We start from the raw sequence: 24,557 nt of genomic DNA, 5'->3' as shown, positions 1-24,557 counted from the left end.
GGACACCTTGTACAGTAATTACTTGTATAACTGAAGCACGAGTTTTGGTTTGGTAGCGGGAAGTTGAGGGGCAGGGGGATGTTGGAGGGGCTGAATTATTCACATAATTTCTCCCCCAGTCGCTGCGGACAGGCACTCATTCCGGTGGGGTCCCCTGGCCCCCTCCGCCGCTCCCCCGACGCCCGCATTTCGGAGCGGGCAGTTTCCCGGGGACACCCGCCCCGCCCTGCAGGCCCCGCCCCCGGCCGCCGGCCCCGCCCCCGCCTCCGCCGCCGCCGGCAGGGGTCGCGCTGCCCCCGGCGAGCCGCTCAGGCGGGGGTGGGGTAAGCTCCCGCGGCCGGTCGCTTTTCTCCGCCGCCGCTGGTTGGATCGTTTCAATAAAAGTGTTTTTTCTCTTGCACTCGCTCTCCTCCGGGGAACAGGCGGAGGCGTCAATCCGCAGCCGCCGAGTGTGAAAGCGACGCACACGCAAGGAGCGAACGCGGCCGCCCGCAGTCTCCTGAGCTCCCCGCGGGCCGCCGCAGAGCCGCGGAGAAGGAGCCAGCGCCCGGCCAGACAGTCTCAGCCCGCCGTCGGCGCCCGCCGCGCTCGCGCCCGGCTGCTCCGAGGGGATTAGTGGGCCGTCCGCGCGGCTCGTCGGCGCGGGAGCCATGTTGACCGAGGGACTTGGCAACGCGTGAGACACCCGCGGCCCCTCCCGAGGCTCCGGACCCGCGGCGAGAGCCGGAAGGCGGCTGTGGCGGCGGAGGCCTGCGCTCGGAAGCGCCTCACGTCTGCCGGCCGCTGAGACCCGGACTTGCATCCGGTCGCCGCGGGCGTCCGCGGAGCAGCTTCCCCCCGCGCCTCTCTTCGCCTCGCCTCGGGACCCGCGGTCCCCGCTCTTGCTGGTGAGTTGGCGGCTGGCGTCCGCGCCGCGCTTTCCCCTGGTGTCGGGTCGGCCGCGGGGCCGGGAGGCTGCGTGGGACAGAGGCGGGGGCGGGGGCTACTGGGGGCGCGGGTGGCTCAGGCCCGGTCGGGAAGTTGAGCGAGGAGGCGCGGCGCGGGGGGCTAGCGTGCGCCTGTCACCTCTCCGGTCCAGCGAGGACCTTGGGTCGCCCGGGGATTTCCGGGGCTCGGGTGGGGTGTGAGTGTCTGCGAGCTGCTTCCCAGGAGGCGCCGACAGATATAGACGCCGCCGCCTCCGGTGCTCGCTGCCGCTTTGGTCTGCGGGGGAGGCCGGTCTCCTCGCGAGGCGGAGGAGGGGAAAGAGGCAGAAAGTCCCCCGAGACACAAAGGTCCCCTCGGCGGGGGTGGAGCTGGAGGCGCAGGCGACGCTGCCCGGGAGGGGAAGGAAGGGGCGCGGGTCCGCGGGAGGTGGGCGAGGAGGCGGCGGTCGCGGCGCCTGCAGCTCCTTGGAGACGCTGGCGCTGTGCGCGGGTGGGGAGCGCGGAGGAGGAGGAGGAGCCCGCGCGTGGGAGCGGGTAGAGACAAAGATCAGGGCAGCCTCCTGCTGGCGGGTCACACCCCGGAGTGTTGGTCAAGAGCGGAGGTAGAGGGAAGGTGGGAAACCCAGCAAACCGATGGGGAGGGGAAAATGGGGGGAGGAGGGTGCCTAGTGCTGTCTCCGTCGCAGTTGCTTTTCTCAGCATTTTTGTGCCCGATGCTATGCCCGATGCTTTTGCTCCCCAACTCAGCTGGATAGCTCCAGATTCCCTCCCTCCTGTCACCCCCACACTGCCACATTGACTCTCCTGTGGTTTTTCCCTCGTTCTCCCCCTACTTTTCACCCACTCCTTTTCGGGTAAGCAGTATTTTGCTTTCAGCTTGGGGAACATTTGTTAATGACAGGATGTCTGAGCTTGTTCTGACCCTGAACTGCCTTGAACTTCTCTCTCTTCCTCCCACCCTTTCCTTTTCTGGGATCTATAATGTCACATGGCCGTTAACAATTAGCTTTTCTTTTGCAAAAGTGGCAAAAAGCGTTTAGCTGAAATCTGTGGCTCTCGCCTCCTTTACATGAATATGTCCACCAAAGACACCTCGTTGGTCATGTTCTATCACCTCTTCGTCAAATTGACATCAGGTCCTAACAGGTCACTTTCAAGATACAGAAGAGGCAAATTTTGTTTTGAGACTTGGCCATTCCTAGGGTCAGCAAAGTGTATTCCTGGCAGCCAGACCTTCAGTCACTTATCAGGAAATGCTTGACCTAAAGACAGACAATTCTTTCCCCAAACTTTGCTGTTTCTTTTTTGAGTCTTTGTTGAAAGATTTCTTTTAAAAGGCGTTCGTGTGAGAAGATCACAGCAACAAATCTGGCTTGTTCTGTTTTAGACTTACTTTCTTAACTCTTGGGCAGAAGAAAATGAATGAGATTTGAAGACCTTTGATACCTTGGGTAGACAAAGCTTGCCTTGAAACTAGAAATAAGACGAAACTAGATTTTAAGGGGAAAAAATTTGCTAGTGGTAATATAATTGGTTTTGTTTCATTTTTTTATGAGTCTGAGGAGTTGACATTAAACGTTGGGATGTTGCTTTGTTAATGAAGTCATTTCAATTTTTGCAACTCTTAACATCTGCATGCTTCCATAAACAGTGGGTTGGAACAAAAGAAAATGTGACTAAGGGATATTCCTTAAATTCTTTTTTATGTTATGAGAGAGAATATTGGAATATAAAGAATGTTACTTTATCTGGTAAACCATCTCATAGGCCAGAAGCACTAACAGTTTGAATGGTTGGCTTAAAAAAAAACGGGAGTCTTTGAATTTAAGCTTATGTAAAATTACTATGCAAATATAGGTTATTATTTATTTTTACAGTGAAAATAAAACACTATTGAAGTATAAATGGAAAGAAAATAAAAGCAAAGCCTGTTTAATATAGAGACATTAATGTTGATATCACTGTACGAACAGTCATAGCTTGCTGCTCACTGCCGTTAAAGGGTTGACATACAAACATTGTGGAAGAGATTTCAGTTTGAGGGCTAGTGTCTGAATTATGGACTCCTTACCCTACTCCACCACTTAAAACATTTTAGAGACTTTTGTGAAATTAACAGGTCATATAATTAATAATTGTTGTTTTATGTACATTTATTGAAAGGCCATATTGAGGCTCCATTGATTTTTTTTCCTGCATATTTATCAGTATCGAATTAGAAAATTGAACCTTCAGTGTTACTAGATGGAAATCTACCAAAAAGTAGCAAGGTTTACGAATGGTGGGATTTATTGGTGATTAAACATTTTTTTCCTGTATTTTATAAGTTTCACATTACATTTACAATGAGAAAAAAATGTAAATGTAGAATTAAAGTCTTGTTAATATCGTAATTTGCCTATTGCTGTACTAAAAGAAGCTTCTATAAAATGTATCATTCTCATCCTTAGATTCAGGCCAGAAAGTAACTTTCAGTGTTAGGTATTTGAAATAATGCAGCCTGTCATATGTACTCTGGTTACCAGAATGAAAAAACAAAAAGAGATACATACATAGTAAGGAAACATGAAATTGGAGGAATTGATCCCCATGTGTATTGCAGCTTCATATACCAGTAGTCTCTAATAAGTCATTGCTTTAATAAAAAAAAAAATAGAAAATTTAAATTTTATTTGCCCGGTAGCACAGGGATAGCTATGTTGACTAAGCGCAGATTTTAACGTATATGTTTGTTGATATATTTAGTTTTCAGATACCAGTTCAGTCCTACAATTATGGCGAAACTAGATGGCATATAAAATCATTTTGTTGCTTTGTTGAGGCTTGTTTTTTTCCTTATTTTCAGCAATATTTTCCTTCTTTCCTTTCACTGAAAAACAATGCAACTATTTTATTTTGAACAATGGAAGCTGTAATGGCAACTGGGGTAGCTATTCAAAAGTGGAGATGACGATGTCCCTTAATATTATAACAGTTATCTGTGAACACAAAAATTTTTACCCTATGATTTTCTTTGTTATTGTCTACTAATGCTGAATATTTATAAGACATTACATTTTGAATCTTTATTGATGTTTCCTAGTCTTTAGAAAATTTTACCGTCATGGGCTAGCATTCTTTTACATGGCATTTAGATTTCCAGGATGTTCTTTGTATTTTTTGTTTGTTTGTTTGTTTTGTTTGTTTTAGACTTTCAGGATGGATAATTACTTTATTGCTATATTGTAAAAATTATATTCTCTAGGGAATTTTACCTGTTTAAAAAATTGTCTCAGTTTTCATACATGGGAAGGATGAATAGTTTTAGGTTCTTTTGAATTTTGAATGGATAATTTTTGCCTAAACTTTTAAACAGGAAATCGGTATTTAAAGTATATTTCATAAAGTGATAATGGCATTTTGCATTTTAAATGCAGAAGATAAACAATAGGTTTATGGCATTTAAAAATGTGCTTTATGTAGCATTTTTGAAGTTAAAAAAACTGCCTGTAATAGCGAACCTAGTGTAGTTCACTAGCATTCAATCTACAATGTTGGCAATTTCTTTGAACTGATGGGGAGAGGACCAGTTAGACTGGCTTTTAAGAATTTTTATTGTCATCAGTGGATTCTTTGTCATTATTTTGCTTCCAATATAGTTAGTTGGTGGTTACTTTTGATATCTGCAAAATATTGACCTGGCAAGAGGAATTGCCAAGGGCCAGAGAAGTGTATTGAATATACCTCAGTGTAGTTTATTGTTCCCAGCCTGTCTGCCTCTCCCTGTTGGCCAACATGGAAAATCAATAGACATCTACCAGTAAATCTAATAAGTAATGTTACCGTGTTCTGCAGTAACCTGCAATACTGAATACTGTTTGAGGATGTAGATTTACAGATCTATGGCATATTGGGATGAGGTGAAAATTATCTTGCTCTCCAAAGTCTCCTTTTGAAAATATTTTTTGATATCACCTTATTTTACTTGGGGTACTATAACAAAATACCATACATTGAGGTGGCTTAAAACACAGACGTATTTTCTCACAGGTCCGGGGCTGGAAGTCTGAAATCAGCTAAGCACCTGCCCTCTCAGCTGTCTTCTCCCTGGGCACTCTTAAGTCCTTTCCTCCCTGTCTGCAGGTGAAGTGGGAGGGAGGGGAGGGAGAGGTGAGGATGTCTTTTTCTTTTCTACTTAAAAGGGCACAAATCCCGTCATGAGAGGGTCTCACTCTTAGGACCTAATCTAAACCTAATTACTTCCCAAAGGTCCACCTCTAATAGCCATCACACTGGGAGGTTTGGACTTCAACATGTGAATTTTGGGGGTACACAGATCTTCAGTCCATAACATAAACTTTGTGAAAGAAATTAACGTTAATTATTTACCTCCTCTACTAGGCACTATGCTAAGTATTATTTTGTGAAATCCTCACAATAAGCGCTTCATATAGGTATTCTGCCTGTTTTCAAATGAAGAAACAAAGACCTTAGGTTAAGTCATTGTTTCCAGGGACCGACCTCTGTGGTAACATTGACATTCCAGTTTAGGCATTCAAACCACTACTCTACACTGTCTCCATGAGGATGAGATGTTAAAAAGTCAATGTTACTGTCTGCACTCTATAAACAATGAGTGAGATATTAGAAAAGCTCATCAAAATGCGATTTAAAGTACATTGAACTGGTTTTACTACATTAAAAGATTGCAGTATATAAAATATGTAAGGTAGGACATGTTGCTCAAAATGAATTAAAAATCAAGATGCTAAAAAAATTTAAAACATTTATATGGGCGAGGCATGGTGGCTCACGCCTGTAATCCCAGCACTTTGAGAGGCTGAGCCGGGCAGATCACAAGGTCAAGAGTTCCAGTCCGGCCTGGCCAACATGGTGAAACCCGGTCTCTACTAAGAATACAAAAATTAGCTGGGCACGGTGGTGCATGCCTGTAATCCCAGCTACTCGGGAGGCTGAGGCAGGAGAATTGCTTGAACTTGGGAGGCAGAGGTTGCAGTGAGCCAAGATCGCACCATTGCACTCTAGCCTGGCGACAGAGCAAGACTCTGTCTCGGGGGAAAAAAATTATAGATTTTTTGAATAAATAATAAATAAAAATAAAATAATAAATATTTTTTGTCTACCTTTTTTTTTTCTTTTTTTTTTTTTGAGACGGAGTCTCTCCCTCAGTTGGCCCAGGCTGGAGTGCAGTGTTGCAGTTGCGTGATCTCAAGCTATTCTCGTGCCTCAGCCTCCGGAGTAGCTGGGACCACAGGTGGTGTGAGCTTCCACGTCCAACTAAATTTTGTATTTTTAGTAGAGATGGGTTTTCACCATGTTGGCCAGGCTGGTCTCGAACTCCTGACCTCAGGTGATCTGTGCACCTCGGTCTCCCAAAGTGCTGGGATTACACGTATGAGACACCGTACCCGTGCTTCTCTACCTTTTAATAACACATTTTTGTTTCTTTTTATGCATTTGTTAGTGTAAATATGTTCAAGAATACTCTACATTTTGTGTACATGTTTGTAAACAAGGGAAAAGGACCCAAAGATAATTTCTCTTTCATTGTATTCTAGTTCAGTTACTAACTTTGGCCTTCTCAAGTCATATTAATCTACTATTCTTATAATTGATGGGTAATGTTTGTTATTAGTATGTGTTAATATTCAATAATGTAAACAACGTTGGTAAATACTTGTGAGAAATTTTTTTTTTTTTTGAGATGGAGTCTCACTCTGTTGCCCAGGCTGGAGTGCAGTGGCGTGATCTTGGCTCACTGCAACCTCCGCCTCCCGGGTTCAAGTGATTCTCCTGCCTCAGCCTCCCGAGTAGCTGGGATTACAGGCGTGCACCACCATGTCCAGCTAATTTTTGTATTTTTAGTAGAGATAGGGTTTCACCATGTTGGCCAGGCTGGTCTTGAGCTCCTGACCTCATGATCTGCCTGCCTTGGCCTCCCAAAGTGCTGGGATTACAGGTGTGAGCCACTGCACCTGGTCTATACTTGTGAGAAACTATCAAGTAACAGCATTGAAGCCCTTATCACTCCAAATTTAGACTTGCTCTTCTTTAAATTAGTTAATATGTGTTTTTTAGTATTATTTTAGAATAAACATTTTTTGAAGTATAACAACTTAGATTTTAGTATTTTATATTATTGACTTGTAATGTTATTTCTGGTGGAAAAAGAAGCTTTTCATTGAGTATGTGTGTGTGTGTTTGTGTTTGTTAAGATACAGGGTCTCACTCTGCCACCCAGGTTGATTGCAGTGGTGTGATCACTGCTTCTTGTAGCCTTGATCTCTGGGGCTCCAGTGATCCTCCCACCTCAGCCTCCCAAATAGCTGGGACTACAGGTTCAGCGCCACCAGTCTTGGCTAAGTTTTGTGTTTTTAGTAGAGATGGGGTTTTGCCATATTGCCCAAGCTGTTCTTGAACTCCTGAGCTCAAGCAATCTGCCTGCCTCAGCCTCCCAAAGTGCTGGAATTACAGGTGTGAGCCACTGTGCCCAGATTTTTTACTGATTCTGAAGTAAAATTGGATTCCTTAGACTTAAGCACCTTGAGTCTGACCTATTAAATTAGCTTTTTTTTTTTTTTTTTTTTTTTTTGAGGCGGAGCCTCACAGGCTGGAGTACAATGGCACAATCTTGGCTCACTGCAACCTCCACCTCCCGGGTTCAAGCGATTCTCCCTGCCTCAGCCTCTCGAGTAGGTGGAATTACAGGTGTCTGCCACTATGCCCTGCTAATTTTTGTAGTTTTTAGTAGAGATGAGGTTTCACTATCTTGGCCAGGCTGGTGTTGAACTCCTGACCTCGTGATCCACCCGCCTCAGCTTCCCAAAGTGCTGGGATTACAGGTGTGAGCCACTGTGCCTGGCCTTAAATTGGTTTTAAGAAGTGGTCCTTTATGTCTCAATTTGAGTTAATAAATTTAATTTTTCAATTAACTCAGGTTTGCAGTTGGTATTTTTAAAGCATTTGTTACGTCCTCAATATTGTATTAGCCGTTATCTGTGTTGTAACAATATAATTTAATGTGGCAATATTGTAACATATAAGATAACAGCAATGTTGGTTGTCTGAGTATTCTGTCCACAGCCTTCTTTCCAGGTTTTATGTGTTCCTGGCAATCTGGTCTATATTTAGGGCTTTGTTCTCATCACCCATATGCAATAATCTCCACCTCTTTATTTCTAATCTAGACCTCTTTTTCTGAGTTGCATTCCAGCTTCCTACTCGATATTGCCTTAGTGCTCCCTTACCTAAACTGAACTCGAATCCCCTATTTCTGTTCCCAATTTCAGTGAATGGTACCACTGTCAGCCTAGTCACGTAAGCCAAAAACTTTGGCAGCTTCTTTCTTACGCTTTTCTGTTATGCTCATTTCCCCTTAGTCCAGTTAGTCACACCAAGTCCTGTTAATTTTAATTCCTAAATATCTTTTAAATTTATTTTTTCCTGTGTCACTTTCTTACGTAAGGGTTTTGGAATGTCTTATCTGATTTACTGGCTCCAGTTTTGTCCCATTTTAATCTAACCATATTCTTTCTTTATGTTTATATATGTATCTTATTTTATCCTTTTTTCCGTACTGCCGTCCATTCATCCATCCATGTCTGAAGTACCTGCCTACTCTGTACTAGACACTATGGTAGGGGCTAGGATACAAAGATGAAGAAACTGGTATGTTGATATTACAATGCTATGACACTTGTAGAGAAATTCTCATTTTTAAGCCCAAACGTCTCTTTCTCCAACGTGATCTTTGTTCCATTCTGACAGTTATGGTGGTTCTGCTATATAGTATTTATGTATACTGTAGTACTTAATATGTTATGTTGTAATTAATTATTTTCAGGTCTCTCCCTCTTTTGGCTGGCGTTGTGCTCCAGAGAGGCCGTGTTTTTTTTCATTTCTGTATTTCTTCCCGTATTATCATACTCTTAAATTGAATAAAGTGATGGAATTAGGAGGAACAACACCGAGTTGGTAAATTAAGGTCAGAGTAGGCTTAGAAGCAATCAAGAATACATTTTGATATAGTAGATAATAAAAAGTGTAAAAGGTTTCAAATATTGGAGCTATACAGTTTTGGTGGTATTTGTGTGAGAGCAATCTAGAGCAGTTTGTAGGCCAACTTGGAGGGACAGTAACTTGGCATTATTGAGACTGTTTAATTGCATGTGAGCTGTACTAACTTGTTAGTGAAAATGGAGAGAAAAGGGGTGTGGCCTTCAAAGATTGTTGTCTTTTAGACAAAATGGAAATATAAAATTATAATGTTAATATGTAAAGAAAGTACTCATTTCTGAAGGTCTAAAAATATTGGTCAGTGTATCAGGAGTAAAATTTGGTTTAACCGAAAAAAACTGGCCTGCCGCGGTGGCTCACGCCTGTAATCCCAGCACTTTGGGAGGCCAAGGCGGTCAGATCACTTGAGGTCAGGGGTTCGAGACCAGCCTGGGCAACATGGCGAAACCCCATCTCTACTAAAAATACAAAAAATTAGCCGGGCGTGGTGGCTCAGGCCTGTAATTCCAGCTACCTGGGAGGCTGAGGCATGAGAATTGCTTGAACCCGGGAGGTGAAAGTTGTAGTGAGCTGAGATCACACCACTGCACTCCAACCTGAGTGACAGAGTGAGACTCTGTTTCAAAAAAAAAAAGAAAAAAAAAATCAAAAACAAAACAACCCCCCGCCCCAAAATCGTCCTTAATGAAATCTAGCTATTTAACTGTGTAGTATTGGCTTAAATGCGCTTACTGCAGTGCAGAATTGTACTCAAAGGATCAAACAGTGCATTTAATGTTATTCATTCTGCTGTGGTAGTTTATGTATACAGTTGACTAGAAGCTTTGTTTTTCTTTTTTTTTTTGAGATGGAGTCTCCCTCTGTCGTTTAGGTTGGAGTGCAGTGGTGCAATCTCAGCTCACTACAACCTCCACCTCCCGGGTTCAGTAAATTCTCCTGTCTCAGCCTCCCGAGTAGCTGGGATTATAGGCGTGTGCCACCATGCCTGGCTAATTTTTGTATTTTTAGTAGTGTTGGCCAGGCTGGTCTCTAACTCCTGAGCTCAGGTAATCCACCCACCTTGGCCACCCAAAGTGTTGGGATTACAGGTTTGAGCCGCCACACCCAGCCTTGTTTTTAAATGGAATTACAGTAATTAAATAAAAACTGTTCCATGGTCTACTTTTAAACTTGAAGGATTTTTTTTCTTTTTCTTTTCTGTCTTTTTTTTTTTTTTTTTTTTGAGATGGAGTCTCACCCCATCGTCCAGGCTGGAGTGCAGTGGTGCGATCTCTGCTAACTGCAATCTCCACCTCCCAGGTTCAGGCGATTCTCCTGCCTCACCCTCCTGAGCAGCTGGGACTACAGGTGCACGCCATTGTGTCTGGCTAATCTTTGTATTTTTAGTGGAGACCATGTTTCACCATGTTGGGCAGGCTGGTCTTGAACTCCTGAGCTCAGGTGATCCACCCACCTAGGCCTCCCAAAGTGCTGGGATTAAAGGCGTGAGCCACCGCACCTGGCCAAGGCTTTTTTAAAATGCCTGTAATCCCAGCACTTTGGGAGGCCTAGGTGGGTGGATCGCCTGAGCTCAGGAGTTCGAGACCACCCTGGTCAACATGATGAAACCCGTCTCTACTAAAAAATACAAAAAAATTAGCCGGGCGTGTTGGCACGTGCCTGAAGGGAGGAGAATCACTCGAACCTGGGAGGTGGAGGTTGCAGTAAGCTGACATCGCCACACTGCACTCCAGCCTGGGCGACAGAGCAAGACTCCATCTCAAAAAAAAAAAAAAAATTGAGTTTTAAATTATACCTCTTTTCAGCCGGGCGCGCTGTCTCACACTTGTAATCCCAGCACTTTGGGAGGCTGAGGCAGGCGGATTATGAGGTCAGGATATCAAGACCATCCTGGCCCACATGGTGAAACCCCGTCTCTACTAAAAATACAGAAATTTGCTGGGTGTGGTGGTGCATGCCTGTAATTCCAGCTACTCAGGAGGCTGAGGCAGGAGAATCTCTTGAACCTGGGAGGTGGAAATTGCAGTGAGCCAAGATCACACCGCTGCACTCCAGCCTGGTGACAGAGTGAGACTTCCTCTCAAAAAAAAAAAAACAAAAAACAAACAAACAAAAAAACCCTCTTCTATAGTAGGTGTGTTATAAGTAATAAATTTATTTTAAATATTAGTTCGAGATTATGGCTTGGTAACGTCTTGTTTGAAGTGTGACATTTAAAATGAATTTTCATAATTTGTGGGAGTCAGTGCCTTTTTAAATTCCTCAGCTTACACAGTCTTCTTAAAACACTTTTTGTATTGAGCTTTTGAGATCATGGTTTATTAACCAACATTTATCATTTCAGAAACAGTGGGGTATTGTGTGTTGCAATAATTTTTGCCCATAAGTTGGTGAGCATGGATTTTTTTGTTGATCCCTCCCTTCTCCAGATATCATTTCCATTTCCATTTTGCTCTCATCCCCTTTCTTCCTAAGAAGCTATAAAATGGTTGAAACATTTATTTCAGGTACAATTTTTTGGAAAAGATCTGCAACTTAGGTTTCTATTGTATAAAGTTTAGAATTGGTTATATGTTTTCAATTTTCTTTTCATAAAGCCTACTTCAGTAATAACTTATAATAACCATATTACTATAAGCTCGTTATTTTAACTCTTGGCTGGGCAAGGTGGCTCATGCCTGTAATCCCAGCATTTAGGGAGGCAGACTGAGGAGGATCACTGGAGCCTAGGAGTTTGAGGCCAGCCTGGGCAACATAGGGAGACCCCATGCCTACAAAAAAATTAAAAAAAAAAAAAAATTAGTTGAGCATGAGATGGCACATGCCTGTAGTTCCAGCTACCCAGGAGGCTGAGGCAGAAGGCTCTCTTGAGCCTGTCTCAAAAAATAATAATAATAATAATAAAAAAAAGTGAGGCCTGGTGGGAGGTATTTGGATCATGGGGCAGATCCCTCATGAATGGCTTAGCACCATCCCCTTGGTGATGAGTGAGTTCATGTGAGATCGGTTGTTTTAAAGTTTGTAGCTTCTTCTCTGTTCTCTCTTGTTCCTGCTCTCGCCATGTGACATGCCTGTTCCCACTTGGTTTTGCACCATGAGTAAAAGCTTCCCGAGGCCTCCCCAGTTGCCAAGCAGATGTTGGCATTATGCTTGTACAGCTTGCAGAACCATGAGGCAATTAAACCTCTTTTCTTTATAAATTACCCAGTCTCAGGGATTCCTTTATAGCAATGTAAGAACAGCCCAACACAGCATGTAAAACATTGATTGTTTTTGCTATAACTCTTTATAAAATAAGAACTATTGGTAGTGGTAATAAAATTGTTTAATCCATTGCTTCACATTGAAGGAATGTCTAAATCAGTGATTCACAAGGACAATTGAATGAAAATCGTCTCTGGCTTTTTGAACTTTGCATATTTCCCAGATTTTCTAATATGCCTCTACTCCCACCAGATTTGAGCGTAACTGTAGCAGTGAGTTCAAGTTATTAATGGGTGTGTGTTGCATCCTTCTTGTATGTTTGGGGGTGGAGGTGGCACATATAGACATACCAGTAGACTAAATAGTCTAAGATGTGCATTGTTGTTTCTAATCTAATGACCATTAGGAATAAATAGGTCATAATCTTTTGTAAGCATATCTGTAAGCTTTCCTTAGGGCCAACCAAATATTTCTTTGAACCATTTTCCCTGTTCTGTTCCACTTGTTTAGGCCTGTGCTTTATCATTTACTTGACATCTTAATAGTCTAGACAGTATTTGCTTTCCTTGTTTATGACTCTTGTATGTGACTCTAGAGTTTTTCTTTTCTTTTTTTTTTATGTACAGATGAGATGTCACTATGTTGCCCAGGCTGGTTTCCAACTCCTGAGCTCAAGTAATCCTCCCACCTTGGCCTCCCAAACTGCTAGGGTTACAGGCGTGAGCTGCCACACCTGGCTGATTGTTTTTCTTTTTCTCTTTTATTTTATTATTATTTTTTTTTAGAGAAAAGGTCTTACTCTGTTGCCCAGGCTGGAGCACATCAGTGCAGTCCCAGCTCGTTGCATCCTCAACCTACTGGGCTCAAGCAATCCTCCCACCTCAGCTTCCTGAGCAGCTGGGACCACAGGTGCACACCACCATGCCCGGCTGATTTTTTACTTTTTTGATAGAGACAGGGTCTCACTATGTTGCCCAGGCTAGTCTTGAACTCCTGGACACAAGTGATTCTCGAGCCTCGGCCTCCCGAAGCGCTGGGATTACAGGTGTGAGCCACCATGCCCTGCCTCACGTTTTTCTGAAATCAAAATAGAGTAACTGGTTATAAAGTTTACCCATCAAAAGAAGAAACTGACTTTGCATTTTATTCTTTGTCATAAAATCTGCCTGGATGCTTAGTATTATATTATTGTTTACTATTATATATTATTCCAGAGTAATGGCTTTAACCTCAACTTCAGAATCATTCTTGTTGACTAAAATAAGAAAAAATCTAAAGGCATGCTTGTAACTGTGTAATCTCAAACTCTGTTTCTGAATGAGAATCTCTGGGTTTGGGTTTTTAATGTTTCAGACAATTCTTGATAGATCCTGGAGTTTTAGAAACACTGTTCTAGGGTTTAGCACAGTGTTAAGGGAAGGAACCACTCATACATTAAATTTAAAGTAGATTCATACTTCTAGTGGGTTGGTCGGTCCTTGGTTGCTGGATGCTGTGTGCTATTGGACCCAAGGAATGACGGCACTGCTAGGATGAAGCTCATGAGATTTTTGATGAAATGGTTCATGAAACTGTAACCTTGAATTGAAAAGTGGAACACAGGTCTATGGAACAGTCACAGGTGTGGATGTCACCGTGATACACATCTTAAAGCGTGAAAATGACCCTGAAGACAGAGAACCTGTACAGTTGGAAACACAAATTTGAGGAAGTAACATTAGATATTTTACTCTACCAGACAGTTTACCTCTGGATACACTACTTGTGGATGTTGAGCCTAAAGTAAAAACCTAAGAAAAGGGAAGCTGTTTGTTGCAGGAAGAGGCCAATGCAGAAGAAGAGGTAGAGGAAGAGTACATGGCCATGGCAGAGGGAGAGGGGGTCCTGGTGGTAATGTCTCTTAAGATTACTGTTTCAAGGTAATATGTGATTTGAGATATTTTCTGTATAGGTTTTCTTCGCTTATGTCAATTTTTATTTTTAAATTTTTTTCTATCAAAAAATTTACCATTATGCAGTATGTCCATGTAATATGTCAGTTTTTTTGTTGTTGTTTTGTTTTTCATTTTGAGACAAGGCCTCTTTCTGTCTCCCAGGCTGGAATGCAGTGGCGTGATCTCAGCTCACTGCAACCTCCGCCTCATGGACTCGAGAGATCCTCCCACTTAAGCCTCCTGAGTAGCTGGGACTTACAGGTGCCGCCGCCATGCTTGGCTAATTTTTTAAAGATTTTTGTGGAGAGTAGAGATGAGGTTTCACTATATTTTGCAGGCTGGTCTCAAACTTCTGGGCTCAAGTGATCCTCCCACCTTGGCCTCCCAAAGTGCCGAGATTGCAGGCATGTGCCTCTGTGTCTGGCCAGTATGTCAGTTTTTAACGAACATAAATGTGGAAATTTTTTGAAGTGAAGGCAAAGTGATTAAAACTTTCTACCTGGGTGCAGTGGCTCACGTCTGTAATCCCAGCACTTTGGGAGGCTGAGGTGGGCAGATCACCTGAGCCCAGGTGTTTAAGACAAGCCTGGGCAACATGGCAAAATGCCATCTCTTTAAAAAGTGTTTTAAAAAATTGGCCAGCTGTGGTGGCACATGCCTGTAGTCCTGGCTACTCCTCTGGAAGGTAAAGTCTGCAGTGAGCTGTGATTGTGCCGCTGCTCCCCAGCCAGCGTGACAGAGTTAGAGACCCTATCTCAAAACAAAGCAAAAACCAAGAAACCTTCCTGTCGTTCCATCTTATTTTTCCCTCCCTTTTTTTTTGTTCTACTTGGAGCGTTTTAGTTTTACCGGGAGTTGGCAGTTTTCTTAATTTTATGTATAATTGTCTTTTGTTTCAATTATTTTATGTTTTTTCCTTTAGTGGATGTTTTTGTCTGACTCTTTTAGCTTGTTTCTTATCAGTGATACTGTTTCCTATCTGTATGGTCTCAGTTATTAGTTTTAGAAAATTATTTTTAAAATGTGAGAATGTATAATCATATAAAAAATGTACAATGTACGTTCTCTAACACAGTGGTTACTATTTTCAAATATTATCTTGGCTTTTCTCCAATATGTTTTGTATTTTTGTTTAAGATCCTTTTTATGTTTTTTTTAAGGTACCAAATAATTGTGGCTGTTACTTTTAGTGTTTGCAAAAGATGCTTAACCATTTCATGTTGTTTGATAATTATTACTTCTCATTTTTCATTATTTTGTTTTAAAAATAATTTCAACTTTTATTTTTGATTCAGGGCATACAAGTGCAGGTTCGTTACATGGGTATATTGCGTGATGCTGAGGTCTGGGGTATGGATGAGCCTGTCACTCTGGTAGTGAGCATAGTATGTGATAGGTAGTTTTTCAGCCCATGCCCCCATTTGCCAACCCCTTCTAGTCATCTCCAGTGTCTGTTGTTAACATCTTTTTTTGTTTTTTGAGACAGAGTCTCACTCTGTCGCCCAGGCTGGAGTGCAGTGGCGCAATCTTGGCCCACTGCAACCTCTCCGCCTCCCGGGTTCAAGCAACTCTCCTGCCTCAGCCTCCTGAGTAGCTGGGACTACAGGTGCCCACCACCACGCCTGGCTAATTTTTGTATTTTTAGTAGAGACGGGGTTTTGCCATGTTGGCCAGGCTGGTCTTCAACTCCTGACCTTATGATCTGCCCGCCTAGGCCTCCCAAAGTTATGGCATTACAGGTGTGAGCCACTGCACCTGGCTTTTTTTTTTTTTTTTTTTTCCCTTGAGAAAGGGTCTTGCTTTCACCCTGACTGGAAGGCAGTGGCATGATCATGGCTCACTGCAGCCTTGACCTTCTGGGCTCAAGTGATTTTCCCACCTCAGCCTTCCACGTAGCTGGGACCATGGGCATGTACCACCACACCTGGCTAACTTTGATTTTTTGTAGATACAAGGTCTATGTTGCCCAGGCTGGTCTTGAACTCCTGGGCTCAAGCAGTCCTCTTGCCTCAGCCTCCCAAGTGCTGGCATTACAGGCATTAGCCACCCTGCTCAGCTGTTCCTATCTTACGTCCATGTGTGCTCAATGTTTAGCTCCCAAATATAAGTGAGAACGTACAGTATTTGGTTTTCTGTTCTTGCAGTAATTCACTGAGGATAATGGTCTCCAGCTGCATCCATGTTGCTGCAAAGAACAAGGTCTCATTCTTTTTTTATGGCTATACAGTACTCCATGGTGTGTATATACCATGTTTTCTTTATCCAGTTCACCATCAGTGGGCACCTAGGTTGATTCCATGTCTTTGCTATTGTGAATAGTGCCGCCATAAACCTATGAATACATGAGTCTTTTTGATAAAATGATTTGTTTTCCTTTGGGTATATACCCAGTAATGGGATTATTGAATTGAATGGTAGTTCAGTTTTTAGCTCTTTGAGAAATCTCCAACTGCTTTCCACAGTGGCTAACCTAACTTAACTTATATTCCTACCAGCAATGTGTAAGCTTTCCCTTTTCTCTGCAGTCTTGCCAACATCTGTTATTTTTTGACTTTTTAATAATAGCCATTCTGACTGGTGTGAGATGGTATTTTGTTGTGGTTTTCATTGCTTTTATCTCATGATTAGTAATGTTGAACATTTTTTTCATGTGTTTGTTGGCTGCTTATATGTCTTCTTTTGAGAAATGTCTGTTCATGTCCTTTGTCTACTTCTTAATGGGATTTTTTTTTTCTTGTGGATTTAAGTTCCGTATGGATTCTGAATATTAGTCCTTTGTTGGATGCATAGTTTGCAAATCTTTTCTCCCATTCTGAAGGCTGTCTGTATACTCTTGATAATTTCTTTTGCCATGCAGAAGCTCTTTAGTTTCATTACGTCCTGCTTGTCAATTTTTGTTTTCTTTGCAATTGTTTTTGGGGACTTAGCCATAAATTCTTTGCCAATGCTGATGTCTGGAAGAGTGTTTCCTGGGTTTTCTTCTAGGATTTTATAGTCTAATGTCTTTAATTCATCTTGAGTTAATTTTTGTATAGGACAAAAAGTAGGGGCCCACTTTCATTCTTCTGTGTATGCCTATCCAGTTATCCCAACATGATTTATTGAATAGAGAGTCCTTCTCCCGTTGTTTATTTTTGGCAACTTTGTTGATCAGACGATCAGACGGTTGTGGTTGTGCAACTTTATTTCTAGATTCTCCATTCTGTTCCATTGGTCTGTGTGTCTGTTTTTGTATCAGTACCATGCTGTGTTGCTTACTTTAGCCCTACAGTTTAGTTTTAAGTCGGGTAGTATGATTCCTCTGGCTTTGTTCTTTCTGCTTAGGGTTGCTTTGGCTATTTGGGCTTTTTGGTTCTGTATGAATCTTAGAAGAGTTTTTTTTTTTTTTCTTCTAATTTTGTGAAGAATTACATTGATAGTTTGATAGGAATAGCATTGAATCCGTATATTGCTTTTGGCACTATGGATATTTTAATGATATTGATTCTTCTAATTAATGACCATGGAATGTTTTTACATTTGTTTGTGTCATCACTGATTTCTTTCAGCAGTGTTTTGTAGTTGTTATTCTAGAGATCTTTCACCTTCTTGGTTAGATGTAATACTAGGCACTTCATTTTTTGGGGGGCTATTGTAAATAAGATTGTGTTTTTAATTTTGCTCTCAGCTAGAATGTTGTAATATAGAAATGCTACTGATTTTTATTCATTGATTTTGTATCCTGAACCTTTACTGAAGTCGTTTACAGTTCTAGGAGCCTTTTGGCAGAGTCTTTAGAGTTTTCTAGATACATAATTGTATCTGCAGAGAGATAATTTGATGTCTTCTTTCTCTATTCAGATGCCTTTGATTTTTTTTTCTTGCCTGATTGCTCTGGCTAGGACTTTCAAGTACTATGTTGAATAGGAGTGGTGAGAGTGGGCATCTTTGTCTTGTTCCAGTTCTCAAGGGAATTGTTGCAACTTTTGCCCATTCATGAAGGGATGCTGGGTTTTATCGAAAGCTTTTTCTCTGTCTGTTGAGAAGATGATATGCTTTTTGTTTTTAATTCTGTTTTAGTGGTGAATCACATTTATTGTTTTCATGTGTTGAAGCAACCTTGCACCCCAGGAACAAAGCTTACTTAATTATGGTGAATTAACATTTTGATGTGCTGCTGGATTCCATTTGCTAGTATTTTGTTGAGGATTTTTGTGTCTATGTTCATCGGGGATATTGTTCTGAAGTTTTCTTTTTTCATTGTATCTCTGCCAGATTTTGGTATCAGGCTGATGCTGGCTCCCTAGAATGAGTTAGGGAGGAAACCCTCCTTGATATTTTGGAATAGTTTCAGTAGGATTGGTACCAATTTTTCTTTATACGTTTGGTAGAATTCGGCTGTGAATCCATCTGGTCCTGGACTTTTTTTGGTTGGTAGGATTTTTTTTTTTTTTTTTAATTACTGATTCAGTTTTGGAACTTGTTATTTGTCTGTTCAGGTTTTCACTTCCTTCCTGGTTTAATCTTGGGAGGTTGTGTGTTTCCAGGAATTTATCCTTTTCTTCTAGATTTTCTAATTTGTGTGCATAGAGGTGTTGATAGTAGGCTGAATATCTTTTGTATTTATGTTTTCACTATTTTAAATCGGTGCTGTGACAAACTTGAACATGCGATATCCCTTTCCCACCCGCCCACACCATTTTGCATTTCCTTAGGGTAGATAGATGTCTAGAAGTGGAATTCCCAAACCAAAGTCTGTGAACCCTTTTCTGATATCTCTGTTGTACCAGTACCACGAATAATGTGCCACATCTGTTTTTAGTGATATAATTATCTAAAATGTTTGCTTTTGATCATTGGTTTTAGAAAAATATAATTATATTTGCATTTCTTTGATTTCTGGGATGTTGGTCCTCCTCCCACCCCCATTATCCCCACGGATTGCTAAGGAGGAGACTTTGACTGCTCCCTGAATCCTGGCATCTTCTTTTTTTAATTTTTTCTGATATTTGGTTTTTATCAAGTTGTTATATAATAAAAAAAACTAGATAAGTTGTTTTGGTGATCCATCTCTTTTTATATTCATTCCAGCTTATTTTTCAATGCTTTGTAATATATTTTAATATCTAGTGTGGCAAAACACTTAATTTTTTTCTAATAATTTTGATATTCTTATATATGTATTTTTAATTCTACTTTAGTAAATGGCAGGCAAAAAAATGTAGATCTATGGACAGTAGTAGAGTTTATGGGAGGAAAATTGCGGATGATCCTTTCAGCTCACTAGAAGTCTCTATTTTTTTCTTCAAAACTGGTCTCCCTGCTATAAAATTTGAACTGTAGGTATGTCAGTATATCTATAAGAGTTGCCTCCGTAATTGAAATAGACTTCCTGTTACCCGTTGTCTAGGTTGTACACTGTAAAGAGCATCTTTTTTTTTTTTTTTTGTAGGAAAAAATGGTTTTGTACATGGGATGAAACAATGTAAACTCAAAACTTACAGATAAGGGTTAGTTGTATCACTCATCTCTTTGAAAAGTTTATATGAATATCCAGTCAAAACCAACAAGGTATCGCCCTTGAAATGTTATCTATATGGATTTCCAAGGAGACCATAGGACTGTATACTGTCTTGGAATGTCCTCAGAAGGCTTAGAGAGCATCTTGATAAAAGGTTATGTGGTTTATGATAGAGTGTATTAGTTTATTTGTGTTATTACCAAAGATGAACTTATGGTTAAAGATGAATTTAGGATTAACATGACGAGGAAAGAGTGACATTTAGCTGAGGGTATTAAGTAGATGTCTCAGATGAACTGACACTAAAGGTAATTAGCTTTACAAATAGAGAGATGAGAGAAGAGAACCACTTCCTAGGTAGGATAAAAGAACATGTAAAAAAGGGATATGAAAAAAATTTATATTCCTTTAAAAATGTTATTCTCTACCAGCCTAATGAGTATTTCCATGTGATAGAAATAGAGATAAAGGTTGCTCATAGAGGTAGTGGCAGGAAATGAGGTCAAAGAGGGAGATATTCCAGTAAGGAGGCTGTTGAACACTTTTTAGGCAGAATATCATTGTTTTCTATAGTGAAGCCATTGGGAAAGTTGTGTACAATTACAGATGAACTTCTGCAAGTTAAATGGACAACCTTTTGTGATGTTGGTGCTTCAGAAGTACTCTCAAAGGGTTGCTTTACAATATTGAAAATGCTAAAAAATGGCCGGGCACAGTGTCTCACGCCTGTAATCCCAGCACTTTAGGAGGCTGAGGCGGGTGGATCACGAGGTCAGGAGTTCAAGACCAGTCTGGCCAAGATGGCGAAACCCCGTCTCTCTACTAAAAATACAAAAATTAGCCGGGCGTGGTGGTGGATGCTTGGGCGCCTGTAATCCCAGCTACTCGGGAGGCTGAGGCAGAGAATTATATGAACCCAGGAGGCGGAGGTTGCAGTGAGCTGAGATCGCACCATTGCACTCTAGCCTGGGCAACAGGGAAGACTTTGTCTCAAAAAAAAAAAAAAAAACCAGCTAAAAAGAGCTACTTGTGCCTTTTTTGGGTAATTTTTTGGTTCACCTCAGAGACATGAGAATTACTGGTTTTTCTTTTTTGGGTTTTTTTTTTGTTTTTTTTTTGGTCGGGGGACAGAGTCTGCCTCTGTCTCTCAGGCTAGGGTGCATTGGTGCTATCATGGCTCACTGCAGGCTCAACCTCCTGGGTTCAGGTGATCCTCCCACCTCAGCCTCCATAGTAGCTGGGACTACAGGTGTGTGCCACCATGCACAGCTAATTTTTGTATTTTTTGTAGAGATGGGGTCTCACTGTGTTGCCCAGGCTGGTTTCAAACTCCTTGGCTCAAGCGATCCTCCTGCCTTGGCCTTTCAAAGTGCTGGGATTAAAGATGTTAGCTACAGCGCCCAGGGAGAATTGTTTTACTGTCTCTTAGGAGCACTTGGAAATGTGTGTTTAATTTAGAAACTCTGCCATTTTTATCTTCCGATGAGGAAATGTTTCGATATGTTAGAAATTGGTTTCACCATTTTGTTTGGGGAAATAAGAGATATAAATAGTAGATTTACTTCTGGACACGGTGGCTGATGGCTGTAATTCCTGCAAATTTGGGAAGCCAAGGTGAAAGGATTGCTTGAGCCCAGGAGTTTGAGACCAGCCTGGGCAACATAGTGAGATCCCCGTCTCTACAAAAAATGTTTAAGAAATTAGCCAGGCATAGTAATGTGTGCCTGCAGTCCTAGTTACTCAAGAAGCTCAACCTGTGGAAGGATTGCTTAATCCCAGGAATTTGAGGTTGCAGTGAGCTATGATGGCACTGCACTCCAGCCTGGGGGACAGACTTGAGACCCTGTCTCAAAAAAAAAAATTAGATTTAAAAAATATAGAAATGATAGATGCTTTTGTTTAACTATAAATATCAGCATATCTTATAATCAAGAATATAAACATTAATTGTTTCTATAAATTGTTCTGCATTTCTTTAGCCTTTATCTCCCTGCTAATATAGGTGATCATAAATCACTTTCCATTTAACAGTAATTCAGTAAACTTACATACAGGTTCTGATAATATGTTAATTTTAGCAGCTGTACTGCATTTCAGCACTTTAAATTCAACTGAGTTTGACTTGAAATACCTCCATTTTACTAAATTTAGATTTTTTTGGTACATAATTGTCCCTAGGTTTGAGCTACTCTGTCTCATAGTATGTATTTATGCTTCAGAAATTAATATCTTTTTCTTTCTTAGTATTTGAACCTTCAGATTCTTCCACTATTATAACCATTTTAAGTTCTTTTTAAAATTAAACTTATTTTTTTGGGATAGATAAAACTCAAGTATGTAGAAAGATGTACACGAAGTCTTATTTCTTCCTTTGCTTGCTACTTTATTTTCCTTCCACACTTTTTGGTATCCTGTTTATCCTTCCAGTGTTTTCCTTTTGTAGTTACAAACAAATGTGTATTTTATTCTGGAGATCTTTCCATATCTAGATAAAGATCTTTATTTTTAATAGCTTCATAGTATTTTCTTATGTAGATGTACCGTAGTTTAGTCACTCAATCCTTTGTGGCTATTTGGGTTGTTTTCTATTTTTTGCTGTTACAATGCCAAATGAATAACAATATACATGTAACATTTTCTATTTGAACAAGCAATTGTAGATCTTTAGGTCAAGTATTTTCTTCCACTGTCAGCTGAGAGAACCTAGAAGCAACAATATCCCTGTAGCAGTGAGCACACCTGGTGCCCAGATCTTGGTTTCTAACACCATTCTCCAGTAAAAGGAACCAGGCCTTTGTGGAGAAATGGCTGATTCTAGGACTGGGGCAGCTAATAAAACTGTAAGATCAACCTGGAGTATCTTGTAGTGCTGGAAAGGAAGGAACTATTCAAACAAAAACACGAATGAGTTATGTCAAAGGGACACAGCCAACTGAAAGAGTTCCCAGTAGCCAATACTGGAATAATTTGAGCAACAAAAAAGTAATATTGAATTATAACCCAAAGTATAAAATAATATCCATGAGTTCATGCTGATAGAAGTAAATGACTGACTAAATAAATAAATGGGGGAAGAATAGACAAATCTGTGCATAATTAGATACACAGCCCTCAAGGAAGTATAATACAACTCCCCACCTTTCAAGTGTGAGCTACATGAGGTGACTTCCTGCCAATAAGTACCATACTAATGTAAGATCTTACTAGCGGAAACTGAGTGTGTGGTTTAAGGGAACTCTTTACTATTTTTCTGTAAATCTAAAACGATACTAAAAGTTCACTTTTAAAAAACTGCTTCTGGGCCGGGCGCAGTGGCTCACGCCTGTAATCCCAGCACTTTGGGAGGCCAAGGTGGGCGGATCACGAGGTCAGGAGATCAAGACCATCCTGGCTAACACGGTGAAACCCTGTCTCTACTAAAAATACAAAAAATTAGCTGGGCGTAGTGGCGGGCGCCTGTAGTCTCAGCTACTTGGGAGGCTGAGGCAGGAGAATGGCGTGAACCCGGGAGGGGGAGCTTGCAGTGAGCCGAGATCGCACCACTGCACTCCAGCCTGGGCGACAGAGCGAGACTCCATCTCAAAAAAAAAAAAAAAACGAAAAAAAAAAACTGCTTCTGTAATTCTGATGCTGCCAGATTGCCATTTTGTACTACCACCTAAATGTGCAACAGGCCTGTTTCCCATAACCTCAGCAACTGAATGTGTTGTCAGACTTTTTGAGTTTTGCATTTGATAGATGAGAACTGGTTTAACTCAGGTTATTGTATTTTTCTCATTATCAATGACATTGGACATTTTTTCATATGTTTAAGGGGCATTTTACGTTTTTTCCCTTCTTTGAATTCTCATGTCCTTTATTTTTCTCTTAGGTCATTGGTCTTTGTTTTCAGGAATTTTCTGTTGGGAGATTAGCCCTTTATTTGTGATGTGGGTTGCAAATATGTATATTTTAGATTATGTTTTTTCATGCATAACTTTCGACTTTTATATGGTGAAGTAATTTTTTCTTTTATGTTTTTGGATTTTGAAATATATTTAGAAAAGTCTTCACCATTCCAAGGTTATAAGGAAGTTCATCCACATTTTCTTCTAATACTTGTGGTTGTGTTTTTCACATTTGGATTTTAAAATTTGGATCCTTCAGTTCCTCTCAATCTTTGAGGCATTTTAAATGCTTACCCCTTGCTTTCTGGTTATACCTGCATCAGCATGGTTGTGGCCATATAGGTGATTCAGATGACTTATAGTAAAAGAAATACTTAGGCATTTACTCTCAGTAAGAAGTCTCAACTTTCTGATTACTGATCATGATTATTATAGTAAATGGAAACTCCTTTAGAGTTTCTTTTCACTGTTAAATTGTATATTTTGTAGTATTTTTTCTACTGATTATCAGTATTGTGGATTATTCATGTATCAATTGGTTTTTTCCTTATCCTGTTTCTTATAGGATTCCTTTTTAGATTATTAAACCTGTCTGTGATCTGTTTCTCATCTTCCTTAGAACTCCTACTGGTTTTATGGTCCTCTGATTACTAAACTCTATTTTATAATCTTCAGAAGTTTAATTAGTAGGCCAGTTTGCTGTTTTAACTCATTAAGAAACTGGCCAGTAGTGTCAGTGGATACTGCCTAATATAGGGTGATGATTTATCTTAACCTTTTATAACAGTATTAATATTTTCCCCACATTGCTTGTGATGAGACTAGTGTCACTGAACTGAGCTTGTAACAGACATTTGGGAAGCTGTCTGGTGGTACTGCGGAATTTTGGCTGCTGGAAAATACCACCAAAAATTATCTGTTGAGTATATTGCTTATAAGCATTTGTAGGGGGCCATGTGGGTGTTGATAAGAATGGCAAACCAGAAAGGAACATCAAAGTTGGAGTGTTTATTATTGATGTTTTGGAGTCTGGTTTAAGTATTTCAAAGCTTTATTAGAATTAGGTGAGGATCATGATATAATAGTTTGA

The 24,557-nt window shown here is 40.8% G+C and overlaps 1 protein-coding gene across 5 annotated transcripts in view, besides 3 other annotated features; it reads left to right on the top strand.

Annotated features, from left to right (window-relative positions):
• Window positions 91–420: a silencer, noted in NCBI's record as "silent region_4744". NCBI's record gives its function as "represses an Ori minimal core promoter by ATAC-STARR-seq in GM12878 lymphoblastoid cells {active_cell/tissue: GM12878}" and the evidence as "EXISTENCE:reporter gene assay evidence [ECO:0000049][PMID:35858748]".
• The window catches only part of CDK17 (cyclin dependent kinase 17), a 122,215-nt gene continuing 98,091 nt past the window's right edge, over window positions 434–24,557 (top strand). For 3 of the 5 annotated variants that reach the window (NM_001170464.4, XM_017019407.3, NM_002595.5), the window contains exon 1: window positions 434–887. The gene's annotated coding sequence lies outside the window, so the exon portion shown is untranslated. Of the gene's footprint in view, window positions 888–1,494; window positions 1,540–24,557 lie in introns of those variants that run through there. The other 2 variants (XM_017019406.2, XM_017019405.2) reach the window with 2 other exon arrangements.
• Window positions 511–690: a silencer, noted in NCBI's record as "silent region_4743". NCBI's record gives its function as "represses an Ori minimal core promoter by ATAC-STARR-seq in GM12878 lymphoblastoid cells {active_cell/tissue: GM12878}" and the evidence as "EXISTENCE:reporter gene assay evidence [ECO:0000049][PMID:35858748]".
• Window positions 871–1,030: a silencer, noted in NCBI's record as "silent region_4742". NCBI's record gives its function as "represses an Ori minimal core promoter by ATAC-STARR-seq in GM12878 lymphoblastoid cells {active_cell/tissue: GM12878}" and the evidence as "EXISTENCE:reporter gene assay evidence [ECO:0000049][PMID:35858748]".

The sequence above is a fragment of the Homo sapiens genome, chromosome 12 (genome assembly GCF_000001405.40).
Source record: "Homo sapiens chromosome 12, GRCh38.p14 Primary Assembly".
Taxonomy (NCBI): Eukaryota; Metazoa; Chordata; class Mammalia; order Primates; family Hominidae; genus Homo; species Homo sapiens.
The sequence above is the reverse complement of the archived record's forward strand: the minus strand, read 5'-3'. Positions and strand labels throughout refer to the sequence as shown.